The 15,613-nt window shown below is 51.7% G+C and overlaps 1 long non-coding RNA gene across 1 annotated transcript in view, besides 4 other annotated features; it reads right to left on the bottom strand.

The window, feature by feature from the left end:
• The window catches only part of LOC105373611 (uncharacterized), a 241,632-nt gene that overhangs the window by 40,506 nt on the left and 185,513 nt on the right, over nucleotides 1-15,613 (bottom strand). The window lies entirely within an intron of this gene.
• Nucleotides 1,948-2,448: an enhancer, noted in NCBI's record as "H3K4me1 hESC enhancer chr2:129358855-129359355 (GRCh37/hg19 assembly coordinates)". NCBI's record gives its function as "activates a minimal SCP1, AML or CMV promoter by ChIP-STARR-seq in primed H9 embryonic stem cells {active_cell/tissue: H9 hESC(primed)}" and the evidence as "EXISTENCE:reporter gene assay evidence [ECO:0000049][PMID:30033119]".
• Nucleotides 2,449-2,949: an enhancer, noted in NCBI's record as "H3K4me1 hESC enhancer chr2:129358354-129358854 (GRCh37/hg19 assembly coordinates)". NCBI's record gives its function as "activates a minimal SCP1, AML or CMV promoter by ChIP-STARR-seq in primed H9 embryonic stem cells {active_cell/tissue: H9 hESC(primed)}" and the evidence as "EXISTENCE:reporter gene assay evidence [ECO:0000049][PMID:30033119]".
• Nucleotides 10,652-11,152: an enhancer, noted in NCBI's record as "H3K4me1 hESC enhancer chr2:129350151-129350651 (GRCh37/hg19 assembly coordinates)". NCBI's record gives its function as "activates a minimal SCP1, AML or CMV promoter by ChIP-STARR-seq in naive H9 embryonic stem cells {active_cell/tissue: H9 hESC(naive)}" and the evidence as "EXISTENCE:reporter gene assay evidence [ECO:0000049][PMID:30033119]".
• Nucleotides 11,153-11,653: an enhancer, noted in NCBI's record as "H3K4me1 hESC enhancer chr2:129349650-129350150 (GRCh37/hg19 assembly coordinates)". NCBI's record gives its function as "activates a minimal SCP1, AML or CMV promoter by ChIP-STARR-seq in naive H9 embryonic stem cells {active_cell/tissue: H9 hESC(naive)}" and the evidence as "EXISTENCE:reporter gene assay evidence [ECO:0000049][PMID:30033119]".

Here is a 15,613-nt window from a genome sequence, read left to right as displayed (position 1 = left end):
TACCCCTGGTCCCCCAGAATCACTGGGGTCAGGAGCCCTCCTGAAAGGCTGTCTCTGAAATCCTCACACCAAGTTTCACCCACAGGTTGAGCTAGACCAGCCACAAGGGCCTGAACATGGGCGGACGGCTGCATGCCAAAGGCAGGCGCTGTAGCCCGGCCCTGGGGTGTGCAGGCCAGCTGCTCTGTGCACCACGTGTCACAAGCAGGAAGACACAGAGGAAATGGGAAGGTCAGGGCTGATGTCACAATGGGAGACCATGCAGTCACCCAGGACCGTGTGCTCAGAAGGGCCCACAGGTGGTTCCAGGCTGTGCTGTCACCATCTTGAAGTTGGAAAGTTCTTGAACAAAGGTCCCCGCTTTTTCATTTTGCCCTGGGTCCCTCAGACTGTACAGCCAGTCTGCGTGAGATGCTCAGGCCTCAGGGCTGTCTGCGTCAGCCCGGTGAGGATCACTGGGAGACAACACAAGCAGATGATGGGTGGTGGTTGTTTTCTTTCTTCCAAAATTGGACACAGTGATTCCAGTTAATAAAAGCTGCCCAACCTCCCATTCCTAAAGCTTGCTGACAGGTTGGCTTCCAACCCTGCTGTGTGGCTGCATCCTCAGCCCAGACAGGCTCCGCAGCAAGGTCCCAGGCAGACCAAACCAGCCCTGGGCCTCCTCCGCTGTGGCAGGCCAGGCACTTGGCTCTTCTGGGCTTTGGCTCCTCACTGTGGGGCCTGGGAAGCTCAGCAACGTGCTAGCCATGACGGCCACAGGGCAGGCATTGGGTACAGTCTACATCTGTGTCTCGGTCTGTGAATGGCAACCTAGCAGTTCCACCTGCATGACGACACATGTAAAACAGTCCCGGGACCTCCTTTCCGCCAACGTCCCTCTCCCTGTTCCGGAAACCGACTGAGGTGAGCGCACCTGGGGAGGCAGTACCTGTGGAGGCTGGGCTTCGAACCCTGACCCCACCCACCCACCTGCCGCCTTGTCTTCTGAGGCCAGAGGCAGGTCCTGGAGTTAGGCGGACACTCACCCACTTCTCCCGGTTCCCAGGCACACTCAGCCCACCCAGGAGGGCAGGGGCCTGTGGTGGCAGTGGACCTGTGGTGTGTACAGAGCCAGGTGTGTGGACAGTGGGGTGTGTGTGCTCACTCTCATACTCACACACTCACACCAATAGAACTTTGGAACCTGCAGCCAGGACTGCCAACGCCCACATGCGGAGCTCACAGCCAGGGGCCATTCCGCCCCCACAGCAATCCCCATGTTCCCAGCAGCCCAGAAGCCCCTGACACAGGCATGCCACCCTCTCCACAGCTCACCTTTTAATCCACGTCTTGATTTTTTAATTTCTTGCATTTTAAATCTTCACTTTCCTCACATTTGATGCCTAAGGTGGAGGGAGAATTACCCTATCCCAACACCAGCTCCAGGATGGGCACAAGACAAGGCCCTCGGCTCCCTGGGCCTCAGCCTCGCTGCTGTGAGAGGATAGTGGTGTTGGAACATCAGAACCCACTGAGTTCAGTGAGACATGTCAGGAGTGAGTCTGGCAGGGCAGGGTGGGCAGAGCCCTGTGGCACCAGGGCGTGGGGCCAATCAGCTCCATCTTACTCCCCCCGCCATGCTCCAAGTCCTCCGTACTGCCCGGCTTTCTGCCCACTGATCTCTCTTGGTCACAGTGGCCCCAGCCAGCCTGGGGCCAAGGGGAGGAACATGGAGGGACTCCTGTCCCCTCCACACTCCCTTGCCCCCTAGCCCATCACACAGTGCTGGCAAGGAGGGGTCTTCAGAAAATACCTATAGAATGAATGAATGAACGCCAGGGATGAGTGTGTCTCCCAGTCACATCCCAGAGGGAGTGCTGGCACTGCCACCCTCTCAGACGGGCCCTGCAGACAGATAAGAACGTGCCTGGCACACTCAGGCCTCAGGTTTTCTCTTTGAGTCTGGAAGCCCAGAGTCCAGGGCCCCTGGGAGCCAGACACTGAGCCTGGAACACACCCTTCTGTGGACCCTCCAAGTGCCAGGATCATTTTATTCCAAGTGTCCCTCCGAACAGTGACACTCAGCCCATCCACATGGATGGTCCCTAGGGTCACACCTGCTGTCTCGGAGCTTTGCAGGGCCTTTGCAGCTGACCATGCTTGCCAAGGTGGACAGCCTCAGACGGGCAGAGAGCTGCTGCCTCAGCCCCCTACTCACCCGGTGGCAGCGAGAGTCCCCTCCTTGGTCTGCAGTACTGCCTCTGGTTTCCCCCAGGGGGACCGACGGTGGTGGAGCTTCCCCTCCTCAAAAGCTCCCACAGGAAAGTAGGCCGAGCGGAGGGTCTGGAGGCCATGGCAAAGAGCTCCCACAGCAGCGAGGGTGTGCACACACTGGACGGGCTCGCTGCCTCGGGGATGCTTCCTGGCCTGGTTTGCAGGGTACTCTGGCCCTCCTTAGCTGCATCTACAGCACCACCCCTTATCCTTGTGTGTGTGTGTGTGTGTGTGCGCGCGCACACACGCGCACTTGCACATCCTCAGGGGCACTTGTGCATGTGTATCCTCAAAGGCATGTGCTCGTGTGTGCATTCTCAAGAGCATGTGGGTGCATCCTCATGGCATGTGCACGTGTGCATTCTCATGAGCGTGTATGTGCATCCTCACAGGCATGTGCATGTGTGCATTCTCATGAGCGTCTGTGCATCCTCACAGACATGTGCCCATGTGCATCTTCATACACCCCATACACACTAAAGTTGCGTGTGGACAACTTTGCAGGTGTGTGTGTGTGCGTCCTCATGAGCATGCATGCACATGTATGGAACATGCACCCATGCTGGGCAATTAATTGATTCTAGGTACCACCATGTGAACAATATGTCTCTCTGTGTGGTCCAGAGCATCCAGGCCTCTTGCAGCTGTGCAGCTGTGGCTCGGCAGAGGCAGAAAGGGGGAGGGAAGGGACTGAGCGAGTACTGCACGCTCACTGGAGCATCTGCAGGGCTTCCACTAGCAGGTCTCCCTTCACCTCACACAAGCCCTAGAGCCAGACACTGGTCTCCACACTAAAGATAAGAGACTGAGACACAGAAACTCTGTAGTTGTCAAAGTTACAGACAAGGCGGGGCTTTCATCCACATTTATAAGACCACAAAACAACCCTGTCTGCATGACAGCTCACACCCTCCCATGCCTCCCTGAGGGCTCCTTCTTCCCCCAAACACTTCTTAATCCTATATTGCTGCCATTTCTCCTCTTTCTTTTTTTAATAAAAATGTTAAGAAGGGAACATATTTATAATGTTTTATAAATGGAAGAATCCATTCATAAAATATTAACAAATGGTTAAACTTTGGGAAGTGAGACTCTGTCTTGGGTTTTTGATAATAAATGTGGGCCCCTTTAATGAGGTGGATAAGACTACTTAACCCAATAAGAAAAAAGTCTCCCTTTTCTGCCTGTTTTCCCCTTGCCAAAAGCACAATAGAAGACTTCCAAATACCAGAGGTGACTCTATAGCATACGAAATAAATTATGCAGTGGGGTGGAATAATTGCAAGGGCCCTCCCTCCTTCCTTCTGCCCTTAAAATGCATTCTGTCAAGGGTGCTTTATTAAAGTAATCAAAATGTACTCAAATCCATTAGCCAGGTGCTCTCAAAATGTCAAAGACCAATTCTCTGATTAAAGCCATTTCTGCTGATCAATGTAGAGCCTGGGCATGGCTGCTGAACACCCAACTGGGCACCTAAGCGGAAGCCGCCAGGCCCTCGGCCTCTGCTGGCACTGCTGTAGTTGCTGACCAAGCTCAAGCTCTTGTCCCATGGAGGTGAGATAGCAGCCACCAGGCCATGGCTCACTGGGTAGCAGGCAGGAGTCTCCACCTGCCCCAGCAGATGAAGCATCTCCTGGACCTCGCTGCAGAGCCATGAGGACATGATTCTTGGTGTTGGGTTCAAGCGCCTCACAGCCCGGTGTCTACCTGCACATTGCCCAGCACGTACGAGGGTCTGAAAAATGTCTTTGGACTTTGTTCATGCTTCACAAACCTGAACATGACTTGCACCACCCCTTGACAAGACCAGAACACAGCTGCTGTTCAACAACAAAAGCATAGGCAGCAAGAATTTCCACGTAATAAGACCTGCTTCCAGCCAGCAATTTACAAGCATCCCTGGGTGCACATGCACTTAATGTTCACAATGACCCTCAATCCCGGAGATGCCTGCACTGACAGGCAGAAGCACTCTGCCATTTACTGGCTCTTGGTCAACTTGGGCCTAATTTGTTATGCGTCAGTTTCCTCAACTGTGAAATGGGCATGATAATAGTCTATAATGACACAGTTGTTTTGAGGAATAGATTGATTCATATGTCAGGCACATAGTAAGTTTTCAACATGATGAAAATGATAATAATGATGATAGTGACAACAATGATCAGGGTGATGATGAGGTGATGAGCATTATGATAATGATGATGATGTAATGAGGTAATGATAGGTGATGGGAACGATGATGGTGATGATAATAATTACGGAGATGGCGATAACGATAGTGATGGTGATAGTGATGGTGATGATGATGTGATGATGTGAACATGGTGACAATAATGATTATGGAGATGATGATAATGACACTGATGGTGATGGTGGTGATAGTGATGGTGATGATGATGTGATGATGGTGATAACAATTATGGAGATGGTGATAATGACAGTGATGGTGATGGTGGTTATAGTGATGATGATGGTGATGTGATAATGGTGATGATAATAGTGATGGTGATGGTGACAATAATAGTGATGGTGATGATGATGGTGATGACCATGCTTATGGAGATGGTGATAATGACAGTGATGGTGATGGTGATGATAGTGATGGTGGTGATGATAATGATTATGGAGATGATAATGACAGTGATGGTGATTGTGATGATAGTGATGGTCGTGATGATAACGATTATGGAGATGGTGATAATGACAGTGATGGTGATGGTGATGATAGTGATGGTGGTGATGATAATGATTATGGAGATGATAATGACAGTGATGGTGATTGTGATGATAGTGATGGTGGTGATGATAATGATTATGGAGATGGTGATAATGACAGTGATGGTGATGGTGATGATAGTGATGGTGGTGATGATAATGATTATGGAGATGGTGATAATGACAGTGATGGTGATGGTGATGATAGTGATGGTGGTGATAACAATTATGGAGATGGTGATAATGACAGTGATGGTGATGGTGGTGATAGTGATGGTCGTGATGATAATGATAATGGAGATGATGATAATGACAGTGATGGTGATGGTGATGATAGCAATGGTGGTGATGATAATGATTATGGAGATGGTAATAATGACAGTGATGGTGATGGTGATGTGATGATGGTGATGATGATGGGATGATGGTAATGATAGTGATTATAAAGGTGGTGATAATGATAGTGGTGGTAGTGTTGATGGTGATGATGGTGTACCTTGTAAAATCCAGAGATATCAAGAAATTTCCTCAAGTTCTCAGAGCTGGTAAATGGATGAGGTCTGGCTTAATTCAAAGTCAGTGCTCTTTCTAAACACCCTGCTGCCTTTTCCTGGTTTTCATTTCAATTCTAAACTCGCTTCTCATTCTTATTATTCCTTCAGCACCTTGACACAAGTCCTCCCCTGTCCATCACAATTTTATTCACTCTTCCTTTTTCGAGCATCCTTTCATCTGACCTTCCTCACACAACCCCAGAATAATGAGCTGCTGCAGGGGCAGAGCACTGGAGTGTGAATAGCAGAACCTCCTCACATCCTGAACATCTGGGCTGCCACACTCTGAGGAGTTAATGAAATATGCAGAGGCCGCATGCTACAAATTGGGATTCAGAGTTCCCACCCTCCCTTTCCTTTCAACTTCCTTTTTGAAAATTTAGTTCTCCAACATCAATTTCTGTTTGCAATAAATATTTAAGCACTTTGCCTTCCAGGCTTATAGCTCAAGGATGCTCTAAGCCGGCAGGCCCCAGAGCCTCTGGCCACCCCACGTGGCTATCCTGGGCTCCACCGAGGGAAGACTCCTTCAGGATGGCTCAGCTAGGTGGCTTCTAATGTCCTCTATTCCCACAGCTGCTGCAAAGGACTACTCCCTTTGGCCTGTCCTCCATGTATAATCAAGGACAACACCCCAGCCCTGAGTGCCTCCCAAGTAGCTCTCCACCCCCCTGGTTACTCCCTCCCCATTGCTGGGCCACTGTTCACTTTGCTAAGCTGGCTGCCCCATCTCCTTCTCAGTTTCCATGCCTCCAGCCAACCTCCCTGCAATCCACACTCCTTCAGTTGTCAAATCCAAATCTGACCATATCACTCCCCAGCTTGAAGTTCCTCTCTGCCCCCCATCTGCAAGAGAAAGTTTAAGCTCTTTAACACACTACCCAGGCCCCTGTGCGACGTGTCTCATCTCCCAACTCCACGCCGCCCTACCTTGTTGCCCAACATTGCTGACACACACACAGGTTGCACTTCTGGGCCTCACCCTGCCTCCTCTCCTGGGCCTGCACCACTGCTGCCGGCGCTCTGGGCTGGCCAGGGTCAGTGTCTCCAGGAGGCCTCCTTGACCTGCTTCCACTGGAGCTCCCTGAGGCTGGGCTGAGACCTGCCACTGCATCTTCCAGCACAGCCTCCCCTGCATAGCACGACCCCGGCTCCATCTCCCTCAATGACTAGGCTCACCTAGGGCCCAGTGGGAGGTCAATAAGTGGTTGTCAAAGGAACTGGAGCAGGAGCACCATAGCAGCAGGTTGCAAGGCTGGAGAAGGCGCCCTGGGAGCCGAGCCCTGACAAGCCTGGTCTGGAGCCCAGTTCCACGCCCTCCCTGCCTCCTGATTCCTTGGGGCTGCTCAGGGCTCCCTGGCCTGGGCCCACCCTACCCCAGACCTGCCCCTTTAGCTCTTCTCCACCCTTTCTAGAATAAATGCGTCTGGGATGCTTTGAATCCTCAGAAGCCTGCTCCTGGGCAGGCTATAGGAGCAGAGTCCATGGGTCGGGGCTGACCATAGAAGGACATTTAACCACTGGCACAGGAAGGGCCTGTCTGCCTGCATCACCCAGTGGCTGCCCCGTCCAGCGGCATTCCAGTCAGGACCCTCTGACTCTGGACCAGGGAGCTAAAAGGTCCCTCTTGTCACAGCTGCATGATCCCAGTGCAGCCTGCACAAAACCCAGGCCATCAAGCTCAGAGAACAGGGCTGCATTTGTCCCAAGAACAGAGCAGGGGGTCTCTTCCAACATGGGTGAAAAGGCGACAGCCCCTCTTAGAGAAGGCCGTCCCAGTCACACTCACTTTGTCGGGGTGTAAGGTGTCCCACCACCCAGTGGTGCCGCACCGTAAGGAGGGTCCCTAGTGGTCCTGCCCATAGGTGACCAAGGAGGTGGAGCCTGCCGGGCCCTTCCCGGGCAAGTACCCATGCTGCAAACCCTCCAGATTCTTCCTGCCAGGCTGTGTCAGCAGAGGCTCAGGCCTCAGAGCTCTCCACCTTCATTTCCTCCTCTCCGAGACAGGGCAGCCTGCAAGTGCTGCTGAGTGATGGGAAGGAAGTCACTGCAGGAAAGGTCAGATGCCTACATGCCCTGAGTGGTCTCCTGAAAAGCAGCTGCAGCTCTGCCTCACCATCAGTAGGGAAAAGAAGGCAGCCCAGCTCCCAGGAGGGCAGTGCGGGCTTGTATCCCAGCCCCTCAGCATGCCAAGGGCTGAGGGAGGAGTCCCCTGACACCAGCTGTTCCCTGGTCCTCTGAAGGTCGAAAGTGGGAAAGACCAAGCGGCCTCACGGGGCACAAGACGGAGATGCCAGCCCTTTGCACTCTTACTTTCCCAACAGCTGTGCTGGGAAGGTCATATGAGGTCAGAGAAGTGCCTGCAGGAAGCTGATTTTGCACATCCCACCCTGCCTCCGCCGAATTCAGGAATGGAGACATCGGGGATACTTGTGAACCAGAGCACTAAGCGGTCCAGGGCTCAGGGAAGTGCACACGCAGGATCCAAAAGAGAAACCCCACAGGGCAGTGACACTTGGGGTCAGAGGTGTGCTGGTCCCGCTGTCCCATCCAATTTGGAGATCTGTCCATCTGCATTACTATTACTGAGGAAGGTGTGTCATCATCCCATTTAATAGATGAGAACATTGAGGCCAAGGAACCTGAGCCCATGCTTGAATCTAAAAGGTGCATGGTGGGTGGTAAGGAGCTAGGGCTGCCATTACTGGCTGTGTGCGGGGCTGGGCCGTGGAGCTCCCACGGTCTGGACTGCATGGCTGCCATCATAGGTGACCTCACAGGTGCCGCCGAGTGCACACCACCACCCATGGGGTCTCTGCCTGGAGCTCTGGCTGTGTCGCTGCATCAACATGCTCAGCAGAGCTCCCTGCTGGGGACACTGTAGGCACTGAGGATATAGCTGTTGACAAAGCAAACAAAATGCTGTTCACATGTTCACCTTGCAGTGGGGTGGACTCAAAATGCAAATGAACCGGGAAATACAAGCCAGGCCAGCTACGAACAAGTGCAATGGGGAAAACAAGCAGGAAAAGGCTAAAAAAGGAGGGCTGGGGGCCGTGGGGAGTTTGAGCACAGGTGGGACTGATGTGACTCAGGTGTAACAGGTATAATCTGACAGGTGGGAGGCCCCAAAGTCATCCAGGCGAGAAGCGGACGGTTGGCCCAGGGGTGAGTGGGGAAGGCCAGAGGGAGCAGAGGCCCAGTCCTGGCTGTGTATGCTGATGGGGAGTGAGGGAAGAGGAAGGCCAAAAGGCTCTGGGTTTGGATCTCAGCCCCTGGAAGAACGAAATGGCTTCACTGAGAGGAGATTCCTGGGACCCACCACCAACACCCAAGATCCTGTTTTCTTCCTTCTGGAAATGTGGAGTTGCTGTCAGGTCCTACGGTCTTCTGTGGGGGTCCCATGGGGCATGCCAAAAGCCCCTGTCAGAACCCAGGGCCAGGTCTGGTTGTCAGCCCGGAGTCCCTGTGGGACTTGGCCATGACAGATCTTCTCCAGTGTGTGGTTTTTGGAGCTCCTCCTGGGCCTTGGAGTCACTGACAGCAGGTTTGTGTGCTGGGAGGACACAACGGGAGAGCTGCTTCATCTTTCTGAGCTGCCGCAGTGGGATAAGCTCTGGAGAACCTTCACCGCCGGCCATTCCAGCACCAGGGGTTCTTGTTTCTGCCAGCCCCAGGTCCCACACCTTGTCTTACCTGAGATGATGCCTGAGGAGGACAGGTACCAGCCACAGCTGACTGAGTGCATGAAGACCAAAGGCCTTCCTGGAAGGGGCCACTGAGGGGCAGGGTCCACCCAGGGACAGGGTCCACCCAGGGACCGGCTCATTGGGCTTCAGGTCACAGTAAGATGGAGAGGGCGCTGAGTTCACATCACATTCAATCTCAGCAAATGCTTATCTCTACTGAAAATTCCACAAGAGCATTCGTGTTCTGCACTTTCCCATAATCAGCTTAGTGTTTTGCAGCCACGGCTGAGGTGGTGAAATGCTCTGGTGATTAGCTGCATGACTGGGGTAAAAGGTTAATGGCCTGTGTCTCACATTCCAATAAAGCCACCCGCAGTTAGGGAAAGTATAAGCCGTAGCCCACAGCTGCTCGGGTGCCCAGGACACCTTAAAGGCAGGAGCATCGCCAGCCCTGGGTGACCACTGGGCTTTCTCCTCAAAGTTTCCATTTACCTCCCACGCAGCTGTTCCTGGGGCCAGCTTGCTGGAGTAGAAATGGAAAGAAGGCAGCCACCGTCACAGCTAGTTGTGCGGTCCTCCAGCCATGCGCTGACTGGCAGGACATGGGCCAGGCCTGACGACAGGAGCCTGGCTCTGCAGCTGGGATTGCTCCTGTTGCTGGGGGCTTCTTCCCCAGAATCTGCCTTTCCTCCTGAGCCTGCACAGGGCTCAGAAATCCCAGCCTGTCCCTGTGGGTAGGAGAGGCACAAACACAGGCTACGGAGCCAGTCAGGCCAGGTTCATTTTCAGGGCTTGAATCTGAGTGGATTTTCCTTGAAAGCTATTGTCCACTTCTCCAGTTTCCAGGCCCGCCCCAATCCCTCTCCTCTGGGACCTGGCATGTTCAATTCTTGAGTCTTTCTGGATTTTGTATCAATTCATAGATTATTAGCTTTCAGCTTTCTCAGGTTTGCAAAGTCGTTTACTATTTATCTTCCACTTTCAGGTTTTCAACATTTTCTGAACTTTTTTTAACTTATATTGTAGGTTCAGGGGTACATGCGTGGGTTGGTTATATGGGTAAATAGTGTGTCGTGGGGGGTTGCTGTGCAGGTTATTTCATCACCCAAGTAATAAGCATAGTACTCAATAGGTGGTTTTTCAATTCTCACCCTCCTCCCATTCTCCACCCAAGAAGCAGGCCCCATTGTCCACTGGCCTCTTCTTTGTGTCTGTATCTACTCAATGTCAATGTTTAGCTCCGACTTATAAATGTGAACATGCAGTGTTTGGTGTTCTGGTCCTCCATTAGTTCACTCAGAACAATGGCCTCTAAATTCATTGTTTCCACAAAGGACAAGATCTTGCTCTTTCTTACGGCTGTGTAGTATTCCGTGGTGTATATGTACTACATTTTCTTTATCCAGTCTGCAGTTGATGGGCATTTAGGTTGATTTCATGTCTTTGCTATTGTGAATAGTGCTGCAATGAACGTATACATCCGTGTGTCTTTATGGTAGAATGATTTACATTCCTTTGGGTATATTCTCTTGTCTAATATGTGTCCTTCCTGCTCTCTTTGTGCTTCTGAGTTTATACCTTTTTAACTCCTGTACTGTTACTTAAATGACATTTTGACAGGAGACAGGACGTGCCAATGTTCAATTCTCCGTGTTTGAAAAGAATCCTCTTCCTGCCTTTTGTTAAAGGTTTCCCCAAAGATTTTTCAGTCCTGTTGATCCATTCAACCATTCACTGCACAGGTATTATGTGTGCACTGTGGGCCAGGTCTTGAGACAGGTACAAGGGAAAATTGGGGGTAGAGCAGATGCAATGAGACCCAGCCCAGGGGGTAGAGCAGACAGGGACAGGTGGCTTAAAGGAAGGCAGAGGGACAGAGAGCTGCAGAGGGCGCCATGCAGCACGGGGCCCGCCCCTAGCTCTGACAACTACCCAAGCCAGGCAGAAAGGGTCTGCACAACCCACTCTTCCAGGTGGGGAAACAAAGGGTGGCAGTGGCCGAGCCAGGTCCTGGCCCTGCTCTCTGGCTTCTTGGCCCCTCTCTTGTTATCTCTGAGTACCCCTCATTCCCTTGCTCCCCCTGGCCCCCCACCCCCACATCTCCTCCTTTCACCCCACTTTTCTTTCTTCTCCCAGAGTTCACAGCAGCAGATGCCTGTTCCTGCTGAGAATCAGGGGCTTGGGCCAGACCGTCTTGTCAGCCAGGGCCCTACTCTGTGGGACTGCATCCCAGAGACTCCTAGGGGGCCACCAACCCTGCATGTCCCGCTCACCTGCCCGGGGGAGGTCCCAGAGGCAGGGTGCTGTGAGCACAGTGCCCACTGTTATGGAAGTGAGCCCCTAGCCCACCCACCAGCAATATGGGTTCTGCGTTTCTAACGGGGAATTGCACTGGCTTCAGGCCACACTTGGCTTTCACTCCAGCCTCCTCCACTGCACTCTGCCCTGCCTCACCCTTCTAAATCCATGGCTTGCACTTCTCCCTCCTCACTCCCACTTTCTCTAAAACCAGCAGAATGCTACTCCTTCTTCCTTTGGAAGGGAAAAAAGTATCTGTAGGCGAGAAAGCCAGTTCCTCCAGACAGCGCAGGCAAAGTGCCTAGGCTGCCTGTCAAATCTGATTTCAAAAGATAATTCTATTTTGAGCAAAAGAATAATGAAGAGATATCCCCAGCTGTCCTGGAAAGAACTCTCTTCTCTCCTCCCATCAGCCTGCATGGCCTGGCCCACCAGCATCTCTGCAGCCACATCCAGCGTCCGCTGTGGCCACAGGTCTCTGTACCTCTCCCTGTGGTGCCTCCACTCTTCAAGCACTCACGGGGCAGCCCCTGCCTAGAATGGCTTCTGTCCTCCTTTTCCCATCTGAAGCCTATCTGATTTGCAGGGACTCTTGAGCCACCTCCCCTTGGTGCCCTCCCAGAGCCCCTACCCCTCCCACTCATCTCTCCAGTGCAAATGAGGATGGCAGGCCACAGCCCACAGGCTCCAGCATGCCTGGCACATGCAGTGCAGAAGCTTGCCTGCTCAGAGATGGCACATCAGAGATGCTCAGCCCCTACAGAATGAGTGAGCCAGAGAATGGACCACCTCGTGCCAGGCCCCAGCAACAGGGGAGGAAGGCAGGATTTCCTGTTGGTAGATAATTGAGGATGGAGGTGACAAAGTTAGTGGTGGGTGAAACTGGCATCCAGCCTTTGTTGCAACGAGGTTGCAGCTTTCCAGGAAACCCTGAGGAGCAGGGAGGACTCAGCATCACTGCCCCGTGGCAGGGGCGCGATGCAGGACCACCACCAGCCAGCCACAGAGCCCAAGCCCCAGCTTGTGCCTCTGAGCCTGCACCTGCCAGAGAAAGGGATTCCTTCCATCTGATGCATGCAGAGGAGCCCAGGCAGGAGGACCTTTCCTGAAGGCTGAGGAGTCTGTGAGTGACACCCTCCAGGACATTCTCCTGTGAGGAAGCCCAGCACTGACCCCCTGTCCTCCCAACTCTCCGTCTGTGCCCAGCAGCACTGATGAGACAGCCCCAGAAACTCTTCCCTTCCTGTCATTGCCACTGTCTGCTCACCCTTTTCCCAGAACACCATCTTGAACATCCCTGTGCAGGGATTACATGCCAGAAAAGGCTCCCATGCATAAGGGACAGACCATGCGGTAACCAAGGAGGCCCGAGCCAGGGAGAGGTAGGATCCAAGTCAGTGAGGGCCCGGGGCCCCACTACATTCCCAGACTTCTCTGCTGCATTTTTCCCCACTACACTCACCACCTTCTGTTACCAACACAACGAGGACATTGAGTTTTCCTACCGTCCTGTCTTCCTCTAATGGCGCTCATCTCCCTGAGGGCTGGGAGTTTTGTCTGTTTTGGTCACTGCCGCATCCCCAGGGCCTAGAACACTGAGGCTACTGAGATAAACAGTCCCTCTGTAAGGATGAATGGGTGGAAGTGTGGATGCCTGCCTGGCCTGGTGGGAGCCAGGCTGGCCAAGGCAAGGACTCTGCTCATTGCATCGCACCCCAACTTTTTACTAGGTCTTAGTCAGTTCACGAAACACCAGAGCCTGGGAGGCTTAAACAGCAGAGGTTGATTTCGCACAGTTCTGGAGGCTGGAAGCCCACCGTCAAGATGCTGGTAGATCCTGTTCCTAGAGAGGGTCCTCTTTTCAGCTTTTAGACTGCTGACTTCTTGTTGTGGCCCCACATGGTAGTGAGAGGGAGCAAAAGGGAGAGGGAGAGAAAGAGATGATCTCACTCACGCCTCGTCTCATGAGGACGCTAATCTCATTCATGAGGACTCCACCCTCATGACCTAATTACCTCCCAAAGACCCCACCTGCAAAGACCCTTGCATTGGGGATTAAGGCTTACACATTTTGGGGGGACACATATGCAGTCCATAACACCAGGCTTTCCAAAGGGTATGCTTGAGTCACAGTCCAGATGGGCCCCAAACGATTCTGAGAATTCCTCATCAGTTGTGCGTAGCATCTCCGCAAGGGCAGAACTCGTCACAGTGTAAGAGCAAGTACTGAGTCAAGGACTAGGAAAGACAAGCCTGAAATCCAGCCTCACCCCACCAGCCCAGAACCCCAGTCAAGCCACTTTCCCTCCCCAGGCTGTGCCCACTCACCCCTCCCTCCAGCAGGGGGCTAGGGCTGCTCCATCCCCTGATTCCCTCAAGATCTTGAGTAGCTGTGACTCTGTAATGCGCTGAGGAGGCAGATCCACCACTGGGGGAAGTGTGTTCCCTGAAGCAAAACAACTCCACATGGTGAAATGCTGCCCCAAATACTGACTACAAGATGTTGTTCATCTATCTACCCAATGCGCATCCACCAAGGGATTTCAGTGTATTTCAGGGGGAAAAAACAGATTTCCCATTGTTTGTGGCTTACTTATTTCAGTGAAAAGAAATTACATAAAATAAGAGAAAGGAGTAGCTTCCAGTAAGGATGGGGAATGTTTCGAGAAAGGGTCCTCTATGCAAATTCACCCTCAAATGCAGAAGGAGCGCGAAAACCAAAGTACGGACAAACGAATCCAGTTTGCCGGTAGAGGATGATTTATTGGGGAACTTATGGACAGAAGCGTGGTCTTGGGCAGCCGCAAAACAGTTAGATCCCCGTGCTGTCACCCACCCCAGGCCAAGGATTTCTGTACCATAGGAAAAGGGCTTACGGGCTCTATTAGGTTGACCTTCCAGGAAAAGACAAGAATGCTATGTACATCATAGCCAGTAATTTCCATAATAACATCAAGGTTGCTTTGGCCTAAGGGCAGCGTTTACAGTAAGTACACATGCGCTATTACAAGGAATGATAGGCAAACTGGAAATCTTAGAGGCATTCTCAGAATTAGAGTTAATCAGAAGTCAACATGGCAGCTTAGCTCCTGAGACAGAGTCACTTTAGTCTCCACCTAGGCAGAAGGGAGAGGAGGGCTGTCAACACCTGCTAAATGTTCCTACACTTCACATATCTCACTTAATGGTTACAAAGTAGGGACTGAGAGGAAAGAGAAGCTTGATTTACAGGGCTGGATTCAAGAAAGCCACTTCTGTCTTATTCAAAATTCAATGTACTTTTCATTCGCTTCTTCAACAGATATAAATATGATGCATTGTGTGTGTGTGTGTGCCAGAAGTGAGTAGTTAAATGTACTTACGGTTTGTAAGTATAACATTTACCAAAGTGATACTTTTTATTGGTGTGTGGTGAAACCACTAGTTGAAATTTGTAATGACTCATTGACAAATTAATTGCACTAAAGGTAAAAGAAAATTTGAAATCTCAATGGAAGAATGATGCTCTGACTTCCAAGGAACAAATTAAGAGTTTAAAGGGCTTTTGAAGATGAAAGTATATTTCTGCTGAGACAAACTGAAGAGAATGAGAGTTTGAATTTCTCAGGAAGGTCCCATAAGTTGTGTGTATGCTTAAAACCAGGCTTTAAAATGGGCAGAACAGGGACCTCTGTTAATGCCAAGATTAGATAATAAGGACTGTTTTACCCTTTCTCCCAAAACAAAACAACAATTAAAACTGTGCTGGGTGCAGTGGCTCACGCCTGTAATCCCCGCACTTTGGGAGGCTGAGGTGGGTGGATCACAAGGTCAGGAGTTTGAGATTAGTCTGGCCAACATGGTGAAACGCCATCTCTACTAAAAATACAAAAATTAGCCAGGCATGGTGGCAGGCACCTGTAATCCCAGCCATTCGGGAGGCTGAGGCAGGAGAATCTCTCCAACCTGGGAGGCGGGGGTTGCAGTGAGCCGAGATCGCGCCATTGCACTCCAGCCTGGGCGACAAGAGTGAAACTCCATCGCAAATAAATAAATAAATAAATAAATAAATAAATAAAGCTGACCAAATAAATGAAACAAAGACTTGGAAGACACCAT

The sequence above is a fragment of the Homo sapiens genome, chromosome 2, assembly GCF_000001405.40.
Source record: "Homo sapiens chromosome 2, GRCh38.p14 Primary Assembly".
NCBI lineage: Eukaryota > Metazoa > Chordata > Mammalia > Primates > Hominidae > Homo > Homo sapiens.
Note: the sequence above shows the minus strand (reverse complement) of the source record. Positions and strands in the feature narration are given on the sequence as shown.